This window comes from Homo sapiens, chromosome 19, assembly GCF_000001405.40.
Source record: "Homo sapiens chromosome 19, GRCh38.p14 Primary Assembly".
In the NCBI taxonomy this organism is placed as follows: Eukaryota; Metazoa; Chordata; class Mammalia; order Primates; family Hominidae; genus Homo; species Homo sapiens.
In genome coordinates this window covers 46,301,923-46,318,942 of record NC_000019.10, presented here as the reverse complement: position 1 = coordinate 46,318,942, position 17,020 = coordinate 46,301,923, and the positions used below count along the sequence as shown (strand labels likewise).

The 17,020-nt window shown below is 50.0% G+C and overlaps 1 protein-coding gene and 1 pseudogene across 22 annotated transcripts in view, besides 2 other annotated features; one reads left to right on the top strand and one right to left on the bottom strand.

The window, feature by feature from the left end:
- Positions 1 to 17,020, bottom strand: part of HIF3A (hypoxia inducible factor 3 subunit alpha) — a 46,392-nt gene that overhangs the window by 24,491 nt on the left and 4,881 nt on the right. For 9 of the 22 annotated variants that reach the window (XM_017027132.2, XM_005259152.5, XM_017027134.2 and 6 more), the window contains 7 exons: positions 14,855 to 15,045; positions 13,553 to 13,698; positions 10,638 to 10,722; positions 10,168 to 10,280; positions 9,584 to 9,792; positions 6,676 to 6,782; positions 6,290 to 6,437 (listed from right to left, as the gene is read on the bottom strand). In XM_017027132.2, the coding sequence (XP_016882621.1) occupies positions 6,290 to 6,437; positions 6,676 to 6,782; positions 9,584 to 9,792; positions 10,168 to 10,280; positions 10,638 to 10,722; positions 13,553 to 13,698; positions 14,855 to 15,045 (999 nt within the window). Of the gene's footprint in view, positions 1 to 6,289; positions 6,438 to 6,675; positions 6,783 to 9,583; positions 9,793 to 10,167; positions 10,281 to 10,637; positions 10,723 to 13,552; positions 13,699 to 14,854; positions 15,325 to 17,020 lie in introns of those variants that run through there. The other 13 variants (XM_047439216.1, XM_017027140.2, XM_047439217.1 and 10 more) reach the window with 5 other exon arrangements.
- RNU6-924P (RNA, U6 small nuclear 924, pseudogene) lies at positions 12,366 to 12,473 on the top strand (annotated as a pseudogene).
- Positions 14,636 to 15,219: an enhancer, noted in NCBI's record as "H3K27ac-H3K4me1 hESC enhancer chr19:46806981-46807564 (GRCh37/hg19 assembly coordinates)". NCBI's record gives its function as "activates a minimal SCP1, AML or CMV promoter by ChIP-STARR-seq in naive and primed H9 embryonic stem cells {active_cell/tissue: H9 hESC(naive and primed)}" and the evidence as "EXISTENCE:reporter gene assay evidence [ECO:0000049][PMID:30033119]".
- Positions 15,220 to 15,803: an enhancer, noted in NCBI's record as "H3K27ac-H3K4me1 hESC enhancer chr19:46806397-46806980 (GRCh37/hg19 assembly coordinates)". NCBI's record gives its function as "activates a minimal SCP1, AML or CMV promoter by ChIP-STARR-seq in naive H9 embryonic stem cells {active_cell/tissue: H9 hESC(naive)}" and the evidence as "EXISTENCE:reporter gene assay evidence [ECO:0000049][PMID:30033119]".

The window sequence follows — 17,020 nt, the reverse complement described above, 5'->3', positions numbered from 1 at the left end:
ATAAAATGTATTGTTAAAATTAGGCCAGGCGCGGTGGCTCACACCTGTAATCTCAGCACTTTGGGAGGCCAAAGCAGGTGGATCACCTGAGGTCAGGAGTTCAAGATCAGCCTGGCCCACATGGTGAAACCCCATCTCTATTAAAAATACAAAAATTAGCTGAGTGTGGTGGCATGCGCCTGTAGTCCCAGCTACTCAGGAGGTTGAGGCAGGAGAATCACTTGAACCCCAGAGGTGGAAGCTGCAGTGAGCCGAGATCACGCCACTGCACTCCAGCCTGGGTGACAGAGTGAGGCTCTGTCTCAAAATAAATAAATAAATAAATAAAATGAAATTTAAAAAATAAAATTAATTTCACCTGCTTCTGTTTACTTTTTTTTTTTTTTTTTTTTTTGAGACAGGATCTCACTCTCTCGCTCAGGCTGGAGTGCAGTGGTGCGATCTCGGCTCACTGCAGCCTCAATCTCCCAGGCTCAGTGATCCTCCTGCTTCAGCCTCCTGAGTAGCTGGGATTACAGCCATATGCCACCACGCTGGGTTAATTTTTAAATTATTTGTAAAGATGGGGTCTCCCTATGTTGCCAAGACTATTCTCAAACTCCTGGCCTTGGCCTCCCAAAGCGTTGGGATTACAGGTGTGAGTTACCATGCCCAGCATTCCGTTTACCTTTTTAATGTGGTTCCAGCCTGGGTGGCAGAGCAAGGCTCTGTCTCAAAGAAAAAAAAAAAAAATTCCAAATGACATATGTGGCTGGCATCATGCTTTTATTGGACAACGTTGGGTTAGATAGTGGTAATACTAGGGAGGGCCAGGCACAGTGGCTCACGCCTGTAATCCCAGCACTTTGGGAGGCTGAGGTGGGTGGATCACTTGAGCTCAGGAGTTCAAGACCAGCCCGGCCAACATAGTGAAACCCCATCTCTACTAAAAATACAAAAATTAGCCAGGTGTGGTGGCGGGTGCTTGTAATCCCTACTTGGAAGGTTGAGACAGGAGAATCACTTGAACCCGGGAGGCTAAGATTGCAGTGAGCTGAGGTTGTGCCACCGCACTCCAGTCTGGGCAACAGAATGAGACTCTGTCTCAAAAAAAGAAGAAAAAAAAAAGATAGTGGTAAGTACTACAGAGAAAATAAAGCAGTGATGGGAGTTTGCAATTTTGAAAAGGACGATCGAAGAAGGCCTGGCTGAACACACAAGTTAATAGGATAATTACAAATGGTTTTAAGTGCTCTGGTGCAAAAGTACAGGACACCAGGAGAGAAAATGGGCATGGGGGACACCTGAGCTCATGTAGGGGCTCAGGAAAGAGGGTCTCCAGAAGTGATGTCTGAGCTGAGACTGGAAGGATGAGCGGGCATGACTCAGGAGAAAGGAGAGGAGGGAAGAGAAGAGAGCATTCTGGGAAGGAGGAACTGCCTGTGCAAAGGCCCTGAGATTTGGAGGGTAAGTGAGAAGGGGAGGGAGGCAGGAGCTTCACAGGGCCTGGTGAACCACACCAACGCCCTTGGCTTTTCTCCTGAGGATACTGGGGAGCTTCAGAAGGGCTCTGAGAAGGGTAGAGACATGAGGCATAAGTTGATTTGTAGGCCTGGCATGGTGGTTCACATCTGCAATCCCAGCACTTTGGGAGGCTGAGGCGGGAGGGTCACTTGAGCCCAAGAGTTTGAGACCAGCCTGGGCAACACAGTGAGACCCCATCCCTATTTTTAAAAAATTATAGGCTGGGTACCAGGGCTCACACCTGTAATCCCAGCATTTTGGGAAGCCGAGGCGGGTGGGTCGCTTGAACTCAGGAGTTTAAGACCAGCCTGGGCAACATGATGAAACTCCATCTCTACAAAAAATACAAAAAAAAATTAGGCATGGTAGTGCGCACCTATAGTCCCAGCTACTTGGGAGGCTCAGGTGGGTCAGGGCTGCAGCGAGCCCTGTTTGTGCCACGGCTCTCCAGCCTGCATGACAAAGCAAGACTTTATTTCAAAAAAAATTTATATACATATGTATATGTTGATTTGTATTTCAGAACATTCCTCCAGATCTAGAAAAACCCCTAAGGCTTTAGAAAACTGGTGCATGTCCTATAAGATAACCTTCTTCAAAGAAAAGGTATAATTCTTTTTTCTTTTTTTTTTTTTTTGAGATGGAGTCTCACTCTGTCGCCCAGGCTGGAGTGCAGTGGTCTGATCTCCACTCATTGCAACCTCTGCCTCCGGGGTTCAAGTGATTCTCCTGCCTCAGCCTCCCAAGTAGCTCAGATTATAGGCACACGCCACCACATCTGGCTAATTTTTGTATTTTTAGTAAAGACGGGGTTTCACCATGTTGGTCAGCCTGGTCTTGAACTCCTGACCTCAAGTCATCTGCCCACCTCAGCCTCCCAAAGTGCTGGGATTATAGGCATGAGCCACTGCGCACGACCGAAAAGCTGTAATTCTAACTCTGCCTCATAATGTTGTCATGGATACCTCTGCATTTCTAAATGGTGAAAAGCTTCTATGACACATGATGGAAAAAAAAAGCCCCATCGTGATTTTCCCACTGCACATCTATTAGAATGACTAAAAGTAACACCAAACCCAAACACCCAGACAATGCGAAATGCTGGCACAGATGTGGAGCAACTGGAACCCCCATACGTTACTGATGGGAATGCAAAATGATACAGCCACTTTGGAAAAGAGTTTGGCTGTTTCTGTTTTTCTTTTTTTGGAAATGGTGTCTCCTTCTGTCGCCCAGGCTGGAGTGCAGTGGCCTGATCTCAGCTCACTGCAACCTCTGCCTCCCAGGTTCAAGTGATTCTCCTGCCTCAGCCTCCTGAGTAGCTGGCACTACAGGCATGCACCACCACACCAAGCTAATTTTTGTATTTTTAGTAGAGATGGAGTTTCACCATGTTGACCAGGCTGGTCCAGAACTCCTGACCTCAGGTGATCCACCCACCTTGGACTCCCAAAGTGCTGGGATTACAGGCATGAGCCACCGCACCCTGTCCTGGCTGTTTCTTTCTTTCTTTTTTTTAATTTTTTGAGACAGAATCTCACTCTGTCACCCAGGCTAGAGTGCAGCGGTGTGATCTCAGCTCACTGCAACCTCCACCTCCTGGGTTCAAGTGATTCTCATGTCTCGGCCTCCCAAGCAGCTGGGGTCACAAGCATGTGCTACCACACCTGGCTAATTTTTGTATTTTCAGTGGAGACGGTGTTTCGCCATGTTGGCCAGGCTGGTCTCAAACTCCTGGCCTCAACTGATCTGCCCTCCTCGGCCTCCCAAAGTGCTGGGATTACAGGCATCAGCCACTGTGCCCAGCCATGGCAGTTTCTTAGATTAAATATACAGTTACTATATAACCTATCCATTCCAATCCTAGCTGTTTACCCAAGAGAAATGAAAACATGTGATCTCATAAAATCTTGTATGAGAATGTTTACAGTAGCTGTTTTTTTCTAATCACCCAAACTTGGAAACAGCCCAGCGTCTTCCAACTGGTGAATGGATAAAAAAACTGTGCTCTATTCATACCATGGAATACTGTTCACTATTTACAAAGGAACTACTGATATAAACCACAACATGGGCTGGGCGCGGTGGCTCACGCCTGTAATTCCAGCACTTTGGGAGGCTGAGGCAGGAGGATCACCTGAGGTCAGGAGTTCGAGACCAGCCTGGCCAATCTGGTGAAACTCCTTCTCTATTAAAAATATAAAAATTAGCTGGGCGTGTTGGTGCGCGCCTATAATCCCAGCCACTCAGGAGGCTGAGGCAGGAGAATCACTTGAACCTCAGAGGCGGAGGCTGTAGTGAGCCGAGATTGCACCAGTGCACTCCTGGGCAACAGAATGAGACTCTGTCTCAAAAACAAAACAAAAAAACCAAGAAAGAAAAACCACAACATGGAGGAATTTTAAATATATCAAGCTAAGTAAGAGCCAGGCCCAAAAGGCTACATACTGTAGGATTCCCTGTATGTGACCCTCTGGAAAAAGCAAAACTCTGGGGTCTGAGGACAGTGGTTGCCAGGGACATGGGAGTGTGGGAGGGGTTTACTACAAGAGAATATTTTTGTGTAAAAAATCGTGGTAATGGCCGGGTGTGGTGGCTCATGCCTATAATCCCAGCACTTTGGGAGGCTGAGGCGGGTGGATCACCTGAGGTCAGGAGTTCGAGACCAGCCTGGCCAACATGGTGAAACCCCGACTCTACTAAAAATACAAAAATTAGCTGGGCTTGGTGTAATCCCAGCTGTAATCCCAGCTACTCAGGAGGCTGAAGCAGAAGAATTGCTTGAACCCGGGAGGCGGAAGTTGAAGTGAGCCGAGATCGTGCCAGTGCACTCCAGCCTGAGTGACAAGGGCAAAACTCTGTCTCAAAAAAAATAAATAAATAAAAATAAAAATAAATAAATTGTGGTAATTGTGTAACCACACTAATTGGTCAATAGCTGGATTGTGATAGTGGTTACACAATTGCATGCATGTGTCAAAATTCACAGAACTGTGTACCATAAACAGAATTTACTGCATGAAAACCATATATATTTTTGTGTTTGTTTTTTTTTTTTGGTTTGTTTTCAGGTTTTCTGTTTTTCTTTTTTTGCGGTTGAGTCTTAACCACTTTGCCCAGGCTGGTCTTCACCTCAGAGGCTCTAGTCATCCTCCTTCCTTGGCTTCCCAAAGTGCTGGGATTACAGGCGTGAGCCACTGTGCCCAGCCATGGCAGTTTCTTAGATTAAATATACACTTACTATATAACCCATCCATTCCAATCCTAGCTGTTTACCCAAGAGAAATGAAAACATGTGATCTCATAAAATCTTGTATGAGAATGTTTACAGTAGCTGTTTTTTTGTAATCACCCAAACTTGGAAACAGCCCAATGTCTTCTAACTGGTGAATGGATAAAAAAAAAACCTGTGCTCTATTCATACCATGGAATACTGTTCACTATTTACAAAGGAACTACTGATATAAACCACAACATGGGCCGGGTGCAGTGGCTCATGCCTGTAATCCCAACACTTTGGGAGGCTGAGGGGGGTGGATCACCTGAGGTCAGGAGTTCGAGACCAGACCGGCCAACCTGGTGAAACTCCTTCTCTATTAAAAATATAAAAATTAGCTGGGCGTGTTGTTGCGTGTAATCCCAGCTAGTCGGGAGGCTGAAGCAGGAGAATCGCTTGAACCTGGGAGGCAGAGGTTGAAGTGAGCCGAGATCGTGCCAGTGCAATCCAGCCTGAGTGACGAGGGCAAAACTCTGTCTCAAAAAAAAAAAAAAAAAATCGTGGTAATTGTGTAACCACTATTATAATCACACTAATTGGTCAATAGCTGGATTGTGATAGTGGTTACACAACTGCATGCGTGTGTCAAAAATTCACAGAACTGTGTACCATAAAGAGAATTTACCATATGCAAACCATCTATCTTTGCGTGTGTGTGGTTTTTTTTTTTGGTCTGTTTTCAGGTTTTTTTTTTTTTTTTTTTTTGAGAATGGGTCCTAACCACTTTGCCCAGGCTGGTCTTGAACCCCCAGGCTCTAGCAATCCTCCTCCCCTGGCCTCCCAAAGTTCTGGGATTTACAGGTGTGAGCCACATCAAAATTTAAAAAGCAAAAAAGACCCCATGATTCTGTTACACTTCTTATTTTAACTTGAATATAGAGTCCTTTTGTTTGTTTGTTTGTTTGTTTGTTTGAGACAGAGTCTCGCTCTGTTGCCGAGGCCAGAGTGCACTGACGCAATCTCGGCTCACTGCAGCCTCCACCACCTGGGTTCTAATGATTCTCGTGCCTCAGCCTCCCGAGTAGTTGGGATTACAGGCATGTGTCACCACACCCGGCTAATTTTTGGTATTATTAGTAGAAACAGCATTTCGTCATGTTGCCCAGGCTGGTTTCGAACTCCTGAGCTCAGGCAATCCGCCCACCTCAGCCTCCCAAAGTGCTAGGATTACAGGCATGAGCCACCATGCCAGGCCAAATAAAGACCCCTTTCTAATTTGAATTAACAATCCACTTAAGCAGAGGTTCACGCAAAAAAAAAAAAAAAAAAAAAAAAAAAAATTAACAGTCTACACACCCATACACATACCTGTGTCCATGCAGACACACACACCGGCATTTACATGGTGACACACATTCCTCATATGTGTACACGTGCACACTCCCTCACATACACTTATGCATGATACACATGCATGCTCATACGCACACACACACACACACACACACACCTGTCCACACATGCAGATCAGGCCCACACACAGCCACCCCAGCCCCTCCTCCTGCTTACCTGATTAAAAAATGGACACAGACGATACTCTCCGACTGGGGGCCCCGTCCCCCTGACACCACTGTGGCCTGGGTCTGGGTCCACAGGTAGCCACCACTCCGGGCCAGGAAGCGATACTGCCCTGTTACTGCCTGGCCCTTGCTCAGCACTGAGGAGGGGGATCGGGAGGGATCAGGGCCACCAAGGGGGCAAATGGGGAGAGAAATATCTGGGGACTGGGTATGAGGGGGCAAGGAAGGAGACAGTTCCTTGGGGCTTGGGGAGCAGGGAGCTGGTGTTGAGGTGGGGAGGCAGTGCATCCTGGGGTATGGGGAGCTGGGGGGTCCTGGTGTCAGCTGGGGGCCATGTGGCAGCTGGCTTCGCACCTGGGGAAATGGGATACATACAGGTGTGGATGCTCTTGCTGACCGCATCGGAGTCCAGCGCGTGGATGTACTCGTAGGCGGAACAGCCGATCAGGTCATCGGGACTATAGCCAGCCACTTCTGCAATCCTGGGGGTGGGGCGGAGTGGGGTCTGGTCAGGATGCTACTGGGTGAGAGAGAGGGTAGGCAGAGGGAAGTAGCAGCAGAGGACACAGGAACAAAGCCAGCAAGATGTCGAGAAGGATTGTAACCGAGAGAAAAGGAGTAAGAAACAGAACAAGAGGAGTGTGGTGGGTTGAATAATGACCCCCAAAGATGTCCACATCCTAATTCCCGGAATCTGTAGATATGGTCTCTTACGTGGCTAAAGGGACTTTGCAGATATGATGACATTAGAAGTTTTTTGTTTGTTTTGTTGTTTGTTTTTTGAGGCAGGCTCTCGCTCTGTCACGCAGACTAGAGTGCAGTGGTTCAATCATGGCTCACCACAGACTTGACCTCCCAGGCTCAAGCAATCCTCCTGACTCAGCCTCCTGAGTAGCTGGGACTACAGGTGTGTGCCCTGCCTGGCTACTTTTTGCATTTTTTTTGTAGAGATGGGGGTCTCACTATGTTGCCCAGTCTGGTCTTGAACTCCCAGGCTCAATCTTCCTGCTTTAGCCTCCCGAAGTGCTGAGATTACAGGTGTTAGCCACCTCGCCCGGCCTGCCTAACGTTAGTCTTGAGATAGGGAGATGGATGCAGGTGGGCCCAGCTCTAGCAGCTGGAAAAGGCAGGGAAACAGATTCTTTCCTGGAGCCTCCAGAAGGAACACAGCCTTAATTTGGCCTGTAAAACTCATTTCTAATTTCTTTTTCTTTCTTTAAGATGAGGTCTCACTATGCTGTCCAGGCTGATCCGGAACTCCTGGCCTCAAGCCATCCTCCTGCCTTGGCCTCCCAAAGTGCTAGGTTTATAGGCGTGAGCCACAATGCCTGGCCTCATTTCAAATTTCTGACCTCCAGAACGGTAAGACAGTGAGTTTGTGTTGTTTGGAGCCACTGAGTTCGTGGTAATATATTACAGCAGCAACAGGGAACTAATACAAGGGAAGAGAAGGGGTGGAGAGGGGAAGAAGAGCTAAGAAAAGACAGAAAAAGAGACAGCATGCATGACATAGGAGAGAGGAAGAGAGGGGAAGAAAAAAACACAAAAAGAAAGAGAAGAATGAAAATAAATAAAAAGTAATGAGGATGATAGGCCGGGTGCGGTGGCTCACGCCTGTAATCCCAGCACTTTGGGAGGCCGAGGCGGGCCGATCACCTGAGGTCAGGAGTTCAAGACTAGACTGACCAACATGGTAAAACCCCATCTCTACTAAAAATACAAAAAGTAGCCAGGCATGGTGGCAGGCCCCTGTGATCCCAGCTACTCGGGAGGCTGAGGCAGGTGAATCACTTGAACCCGGGAGGTGGACGTTGCAGTGGGCCAAGATCCTGCCACTGCACTCCAGCCTGGGTGACAGAGCAAGACTCCACCTCAACAACAACAACAAAAAGTAATGATGACAATAATGATTTAAAAATTAGATACTTGTGCTTTGCACCGGGAAACTCACTGAGCTGCTCAGAACGACTGTACAAGGCAGGTTCTGTTATGATTCCACAGTATAGGTGAGGAAATTGTGGCACAGAGAGGTGAAGTCATTTGGCTAAGGATACACAGCCAAGACTGACACTCAAGCAGGCTGAATCCAGAGTCACCATTCCTAAGCATGACACCAGGGCGAGGGATAAGACAGAAGAAGGAAGAGAAGGACAGAAGGAAGAGAGGGGGAGAGAAAAAGAGATGAAAGGAAGGATAGAGGGTGAACAAATAATAACAGTTTATTTTATTTATTATTATTATTTTTTGAGAGACAGTGTCTCATTCTGTTGCCCAGGCTGGAGTGCAATGGTGCAATCATGGCTAACTGCAGCCTCAACCTCCTGGGCTCAATTATTCCTCCCACTTCAGCCTCCTGCGTAGCTGGGACTAAAGGAATATGCCACCCGCCTGACAAATTTTTTCTTTTTTTTCTTTTTCGAGACGGAGTCTTGTTCTGTTGCCTAGGCTGGAGTGCAATGGTGCAATCTCGGCTCACTGCAACCTCCGCCTCCCGGGCTCAAGCAATTCTCCAGTCTCAGCCTCTCGAGTAGCTGGGATTTTAGGCATGCGCCACCATGCCCAGCTAATTTTTGTATTTTTAGTAGAGTTGGGGTTTCACCATGTTGGCCAGGCTGGTCTTGAACTCCTGACGTCAGGTGATCCACCCACCTTGGCCTCCCAAAGTGCTGGGATTACAGGTATGAGCCACTGCACCCGGCCCCACTTGGCTAATTTTTTTGTAGAGACGGGGTCTCCCTATGTTGTCCAAGCTGGTCTTGAACTCCTGGTCTCAAGCAATTCTCCCGCATCGGCCTCCCTAAGTGCTGGTACTGCCGGTGTGAGCCACTGTGCCTGGCCTATCGACAATTTATTGAATGCTTCCTGTGTGCTGGGCACCATATTAACTGCTTGACACAAATTGACTCATTTAAGAAAAGGGACAAAGAGAGACAAACACTAAGAGAAAGACTCAGAGACAGAAAGAGAATGAAAGATAAAAGGAGGCCAGGTGCGGTGGCTCACACCTGTAATCCCAACACTTTGGGAGGCCGAAGTGGGAGGATGGCTTGAGCCCAGGAGTTTGAGAGCAGTCTGGGCAAATGGCAAGGCAGCGATTTTACAAAAAAAGAAAAGATATAAAAGGCATGTAGAAAATTCAGAGACAGGCAGGCACACAAAGAGAGAGAGAGATGGATGAAGTGAGAGAGAGAGAGAGAAGGAGAGAGAGAAATGCGGGAGTGTGGAGGTGGGGAGGGAAACAGCACTTGAACTTGGGCAGACGGAAGAGGGGGCCCCTGCCCACCTGTCGTCACAGTAGGTGAACTTCATGTCCAGGCTGTGGCGGCTGAGGAAGGCCCCTCGGCCCAGTGGGGGCTCCAGGCTGCCTGGGTGGGGGATGGCTTCGCAGATGAGCACCAGGCACTGCAGCGGGGGCTCTGAGTCAGGGCTCCCAGCTGGAGAAGTCTGCGCAGGTGGCTTGTAGGCCCTCATATGTCCAGAGCAGTTCAGCACCTGGGGGCCGAGATGAGGGGACAAGGCAGTGGTGCCTCTGGGCCTGAGACCACCCATGGGGTTGGAAGATGCGTCCTGAGGGCCCATCAGGGAGCTGAGATTCCAACCCCATGAAGACTTCAGGTTCAAAGGGACTGAGGATCCCCAGCCCCAGGCCCATAGGAACCCATCCTAAGAGAGCTTACAGGAGCCCCAGGTCCCAACTCCACAGACACCCATGCTCCTCGATGCCCTGAGACCCGCTAGACCTGACCTGAGTGAGCCCCGCAGGGTCCCCAGCCTAGGAGATGCCTGGACTCCAGCACCCTTCAAGATCTTTCAGGGCTCACACCCAGCCCCAGCGTCCCCGCCCTCCTCTGGCCCGGCCCCACGCACCTTCCAGGTGGCCGCCTTGAGGTTGAGGGTGCGCCCGCGGCTGGTGAGTGTACTCTTCATGCGCAAGGAGAAGCACCGCTCCGTGGGGGCCTCCACCTTCCTCCTGGACAGGGCTGGGGAGGCCCGGGGGCAGCGGGGAGGTCACAGGCAGCTACACACAGGCCCAGTGCCCTCCGGCACCCTGGCTGCTCAGGCCTCCCCAGCTCCATCCCAACAATTGGGACCTGGAACCAGAGAGGGTCCCCCAGGGGTAGTATGTGTCCCCTTGGACCCCCCAGGGCAGGGCTGTGTCCCCTCAGACCCCCCCAGGGCAGGGTCTTTGTCCCCATAGACCCCAGGGCAGGGCCATCTCTCCTCTTCCTACTTGTCTTAGTCTGGTGTTCCACAGGAGGTGGGGATATGCTGAGGGAGGGGTGGAGCCTCAGCTTCCTCCTCTGTATGGTGGGGACAGAGGCCTCCAGGGAACTCACTCTGCTGGGGGGTCAGGGCGTCCTGAAGCTCCTCTTGGTCACAGGGGTGGATGAAATCAAAGATGCTGTGTCCAATGAGCTCCAGCTGCCAGGGATGAGAGGGGTGGGGGTCTACCAGGGCTTCTGACCCATCTCCTCCATCCCATCCTCATTCCCCTGCTCCAATTCATGAGCCTGGATGATTTCACCAGTCTCCCCATTCATTTATCCATCCATTTGTCCATCCATCCATCCATCCACCCACTGAGCAAGCATTTATTCAGCGCATACCAAGTGCCAGGCCCTCATCTATCTATCTATCTATCTGTCTGTCTGTCTGTCTGTCTGTCTGTCTGTCTGTCTGTCTACCTATCTGTCTATCTATCTATTTTTTGAGACAGGTCTTGCTCTGTTGCCCAGGCTGGAATGCAGCGGGGCAGTGGCGCGATCATGACTTCCTGCAGCCTCAACCTCCTGGGCTCAAGCGATCTGATCCTCCCACCTCAGCCTCCTCAGTAGCTGGGACTACAGTCACATGCCACTACACCTGGCTATTTTTTTCTTTTCTTTTTTTTTTTTGAGATGGAGTCTCGCTCTGTTGCCCAGGCTGGAGTGTAGTGGTGCGATCTCAGCTCACTGCAACCTCCACCTCCCTGGTTCAAGTGATTCTCCCACCTCAGCCTCCCGAGTAGCTGGGACTACAGACATGTGCCACCACACCCGGCTAATTTTTGTATTTTTAGTAGAGACGGGGTTTCACCATGTTGGCCAGGTTGGTCTCGAACTCCTGACCTCAAGTGATCTGCCTACTTTGGCCTTCCAAAGTGCTGGGATTATAGGTGTGAGCCACCGCATCCAGCTTTTGGCTAATTTTTACAAATTTTTTTGTAGAAATGGGGGTCTCACCATGTTGCCCAGGCTGGTCTCAAACTCCTGAGCTCAAGTGATCCTCCCACCTTGGCCTCCCAAAGTACTGGAATTACAGGTGGGAGCTACTGCACCTGGCTCTTCTAAATGGTATGGACACGGTGACTGCACACACAAATCCCTGCCTTGAAGAGCTTACTGGCCAGTGGGGTGAGACAGACAGTGAATGAAAGAACAAATAACAACAATATAACAAGTAACATGAAGAAAACAAAAGCAGTACAAGGTAACGCAATGATGGGAGGCTGCTTTAGACAGAGTGGTCTAGACAGTTTCTTTGAAGAGGTGACATTTAAAAAGCTGCTGAACAAAGCAAGTGAGGTGGCCTTATGGCCCCCTGGAGTAAGAGTATTCTAGAAAGAGGGGAATAGTAAGCGCAAGGCCCCGAGATGAGACTCCATTCAAATCACACTTTTCTGGCAGGCAGAAAACCCAATTCTTCATTTCAATTTAGGAAATGAGCGTGGTGCTGGGAGGAGGGGACACAGATGAAGGTGGACCCTATTGGCTCACCATGTGAATGGTGCTGGTGCTGGTGAATAGGGAAAGAGGGAGATCTCGCTCCTCTGACAACATCTCTTGTAGCTGGAGTCAAATCCTGGCTGTGCCACTTCCTAGCTTTGGAACCTCGGGACATTCATCTCTCTGGGTCCAAAAAGCTCACTCACACTAACAGAGAAATTGGTACCAGGAGTGGGGTAACGAGGCAGAGAAAAGGAACAGATACCAACTATGGAGCCTATTTATGTGAGATAGAAAAAAGAATGGGAACTTTCTTGTAGGCCTTGCTGTAAGGATGAATTAAAGTTAGTTCTACTTTCTATGCTTGCTTAGGCAGCATGTATGCTAAAAATTGGAATAATACAGAGAAGATTAGCATGGCCTCTGCACAAGGATGATATGCAAATGCATGAAGCCTTCCATGTTAATTAAAAAAGTAAGTTCTACTTTCTAAATGTCTCTTGTTCCTATCTTTCCATCCCCATGGTCCCTGCCCCTATTCCTCTTCTCCCACCTGAGATTGGCATCTACCCATTGCTGATCTTTCAACCTCTGATCTCACTCCCTCCAAATCTACCTCCATGCCGTACCTAGAGGATCTTTCAAAAATGTAAATCTGATTCTACCTTTCTGGCACAACCTCTCCACTGCTTAAAATCCTTCTATAGCTCCCCGGGGCCCTGGAGATAAAGATAATTTGGCCTTAAATTTGGCCACAGTCTACCCTGATGACCTCTCTAGCCTTTTGTCTCTCAGCTTCTCCTATTGCACTCTGCACCTAGGAGGATAAACTTTTTATTATTTTTTTGTTTGTTTGTTTGCGACTGGGTCTTGCTCTGTCACCCAGGCTGGAGTGTACTGGTGCAATCTTGGCTCACTGCAACTTCCACCTCCCAGGCTCACATGATCTTCCCACCTCAGCCTCCCAAGTAGCTGGGACCACAGGCATGTGCCACAACATCTGGCAAATTTTTTGTATTTTTGGTGGAGACAGGGTTTTGCCGTGTTGCCCAGGTGAAACACTGAACTCCTGAACTCAAGCTATCCTCCCATCTTGGCCTCTCAAAGTGCTGGGATTACAGGTGTGAGCCACTGCACGTGGCCAACTTTATTTCCCCAAATTATTCTGTTTTTTTTTCCTCACCTCTTGGCCTTTGCCTCCTCTGTTCCCTCTACCATGTACATTCCTGATCTTCACTGATCCCATCCATTCTCCATACCCTTTGACCGGCTAAGTTCTTCAGATTTCAGCTCAGATATCTTCTCCTCCAGGAAGCCCTCCATTCCCACTCAGGCTGGGTCAGGTACACCCCACCCCTGTGCTCTCACAGCCCCCTAGACTGTCCCATCCCAGCCCTGACCATTCTGGGTCTTCCTGTCTAGTGACATACCTATATCCCCTTTGTATTGTGAGTCCCATAAAGGTAGGGCTATGGCTGTCCTGGTCACCACTGTATCCCCAGCATCACCAGTACAGGGCCAGGCACAGAGCAAGGAGCTCCTCTCACCTGACTGAGGCCCAGGTGTTTGCTGACATTCTCCGACAGGTAAGCCATGTCTCCCTCGGCGGTGAGCACCATGACGAAGCCCTCCAGGGCCTTCAGGTAGCAGGCATCCAGTGGTTCTCCCCCTGCTCCCACCTGGTTCCACTCCCCTGGTGCCCGGGGCAGGGGGATGGGGGCATCTCTAGTCAGTTATGGTCTGAATTATGGACTGACCCTGGGCTAGCCTCCCTCTGCCTTTCCTCATTCAGAGAAACTTACATGCACCCCCAAGGAAGTGGGGGTACATCCTAGTGGCCTGGATTCCCAAGGAAGAAAGCAGGACCAAGAAGCACTGGAATTAGAAGCAGGGCCTCCCAGGGTGGCAGAATTCTAAGGAAGTAGGAGTCTCCCAAGGGAACAGAATTCTAAGGATGTGGGTGGGCCTCCTAGGAGGACAGAATTCTAAGTGGATGGAACTCCCCAGGGTCAAAATATGAAGGGGCCAGGGCCTAAGGGGAATTGTAATATAGAGATGAGGGGGAAGCCTCGAAGGGGTTCAAACTCATGGAGGGCAGGACCTTCCAGAGGGACAGAACTCTAGAGAAGAAGGGACTCCCAGGGAACAGACTTCTAAGGGGGTAAAGCCTCCAAGAAAAGTAAAATTCTATGGGGCAGGGAAGTCAAATGGACAGAGCCTCCCAGAGAATAACGCTACTTCCCCCGCTTTCAGGGTCCTGGGATTCCACGGGGTTTATGTGTGAGTGTATGTGTGTGTGTGCACGCGCGCGTGCACGTGCGTGGCAAAGCCCGCTGCAGGATGCAATTCTAACTGGGTAGAAATTCAAGGAGATGCCTACTAAGAGAACAAGTGATGTAGAACTAGAGGGGTGGGGAAGGGACAAGGGACTCTCAGATACAGTAACGAAAAGTTGGGCGGCGCAGCCTCCCAGTGGATATATTATGAGAGACCAGGGCCTATCCATCTGGGAGAGTCTCCTAGAGGACCAAATCGTAAGAGTTGAAGGGTTAGCGGATTTTCTGAGTCCTAAGGAGGCGGGGCTTCCAAAGGGCGCGTTCCAGGGGCGGGGCCTCACAAGTGATAGACTTCGAGGGGGGCGGGACTCCCAGCAGGCCAGGAACTCAAAGGGGGCGGGGCCTCCCCGGGGAAGTCGATTCCAGGGGGGTGGGGCTCCGCCGAAAAAAACGACACCAGGGGGCGGGGCTTTGTCAGAATAAGGCTTCCCGGAGGAGGGGCCTCCCTGGGATGTAGTTTTTTTCCGTGGGCGGGGCCTGACCAAGACGGGAATTCCCGCGGGCGGGGCTCACCTGCGGCGCAGAGGCGGTGCATGCGCAGGTAGCTGATGGTGAGGCGCATGATAGAGGCCTTGTCCAGGTGGGCGCTGACGCCGCGGGCGAAGGGCAGCGTGTGAGCCAGCTGGTACAGCACCTCGGTCTCCTGGCTGCGCCGGCTGCGGGCCGCATCCCGGGACTTTTCCTTGCGCAGCTCCGTGGTCGACCTGAGGGCATGGGCAGCATTCACTGGTGGTGACTCGGGAAAGAGAAAAGGAGGACGGGACGAGCACGTGGGGAGCTGCCACGTGGGGCCGGGGCTCGTGGAGTGCTGGGCCGCGGCTGCGCAGGCCTCGATGTGTGGCCCTGTCGAGTTCGCGGCGCTCCCTGGGCCTGGAAGGGCTACACTGTGGAGCCCTTCCTAGCCCTGATTTTACCTGTGGTCTTGCCAGTCCATGGTGCCTCTGGCGCCTCGCTCCTCTCTGTGGCGCGCCTAGGGCCGCTCTGTCCCCTCCCTGACTTATCTGCAGTTTATTTCCCAGGCTAGGGACGCCTGGGGGACAGGGAGGGCCCCTGCTGGGAGGGGGCTGGCTGAGCTGGCCAGGGGCCAGAGGAGGGAGGGCCCACGAAGGAGAGGCCTACAGCCTCCCAGGCCCCCTGCCCTGCAGTTTCCCAGAATCACCTCCTCTGCCCTTTTCCCTCAACTGAGCCGTCCTGTGAATCTTGGAACATAGATCTCAAAGTCTAACGATGAACCACCAACAGGGGCCCTAAGAGGGGCAGGGACCCGCCAGGGTGACACAGCAAAGCAACCTGTTCTGTTTACCACTCACCCTGCCCTGTAATCCACTTCAGATACCTACATTTTGCATGTGGGGTTGGAAGAATAAGTGTCGTTTTATCAGAAATATCTGCCACTTATCCAGCTTTTACTATTTTGTCACTCCCAGTGCCAAGTGCGAAACTTATATTAACCCGCCTAATGCTCAGGCCACCCAGAAGGAAGTTGATAACGTCCCATTGAACAGATGAGGACACCGAGGCTCAGAGAGGTGCAGTGCCTGCCCACAAATAGGGAAGCCTGCCTTTAAACAATGGTCTACCTAAATTCTCAAATTTTCTCTATCTCTATGGGCCTGGATTTATGTCCAGAATTTTAGCTCTTCTCCCTGTTTCTGCCACTGTCTTCAAATTCAAACTCCAGGTCTTTCTGAACCCAAAGTTTCTCTTTTCTTTTCTTTCTTTTCTTTTGAGACAGGCTGTCGCTCTGTTGCCCAGGCTGGAGTGCAATGGCATGAATATGGCTCACTGCAGACTCAGTATCCTAGGCTAAAGCCATCCTCCAGCCTCAGCCTCTTATGTAGCTGGGACCACAGGTGCGTATCAGCACGCCCAGCTAATTTTTGTATTTTTTGTAGAGACAGTGTGTCATTTTGTTGCCCAGGCTGGTCTTGAACTCCTGAACTCAAGTGATCCTCCCACCTTGGCCTCCCCAAATTCTGGGATTACAGGTGTAAGCCACCACGCCTGGCCTCTTTCATACAAAATTATAGCCGGAAGCGGCTATAATTTGGGAGGGTGAGACAGAGGATCACTTGAACCCAGGTTTGAGGTTACAGTGAGCCATGATTGTGCCCCTGCACTCCAGCCTGGGTGACACAGCAAGGCTCCGTCTCTAAAAAAAGACAAAAAACAGGCCGGGCGCAGTGGCTCACGCCTGTAATCCCAGCACTTTGGGAGGCCGAGGCGGGCGGATCACGAGGTCAGGAGATCGAGGCCATCCTGGCTAACATGGTGAAACCCTGTCTCTACTAAAAATACAAAAAATTAGCTGGGCGTGGTGGTGGGCACCTTGTAGTCCTAGCTACTTGAAAGGCTGAGGCAGGAGAATCGCTTGAACCTGGGAGGTGGAGGTTGCAGTGAGCCAAGATCGCGCCACTATACTCCAGCCTGGGCGACAGAGTGAGACTCCGTCTCAAAACAAACAAATAAAAAACAAAAAAAAGACAAAAAACAAATTAACAAAAATAGGCAAAATAAAAAATTATTATATGATGTGTTACATCTACTATATTGTATATATAATCTAGTGTAGTATATGGTATATATAGTCTCATCTACATTTATATTGATAAATATTACTATTAGTAATAGGCAGCTGTCATTTGCTAAGCATTTATGTGCTTGCCACTGTACTATATA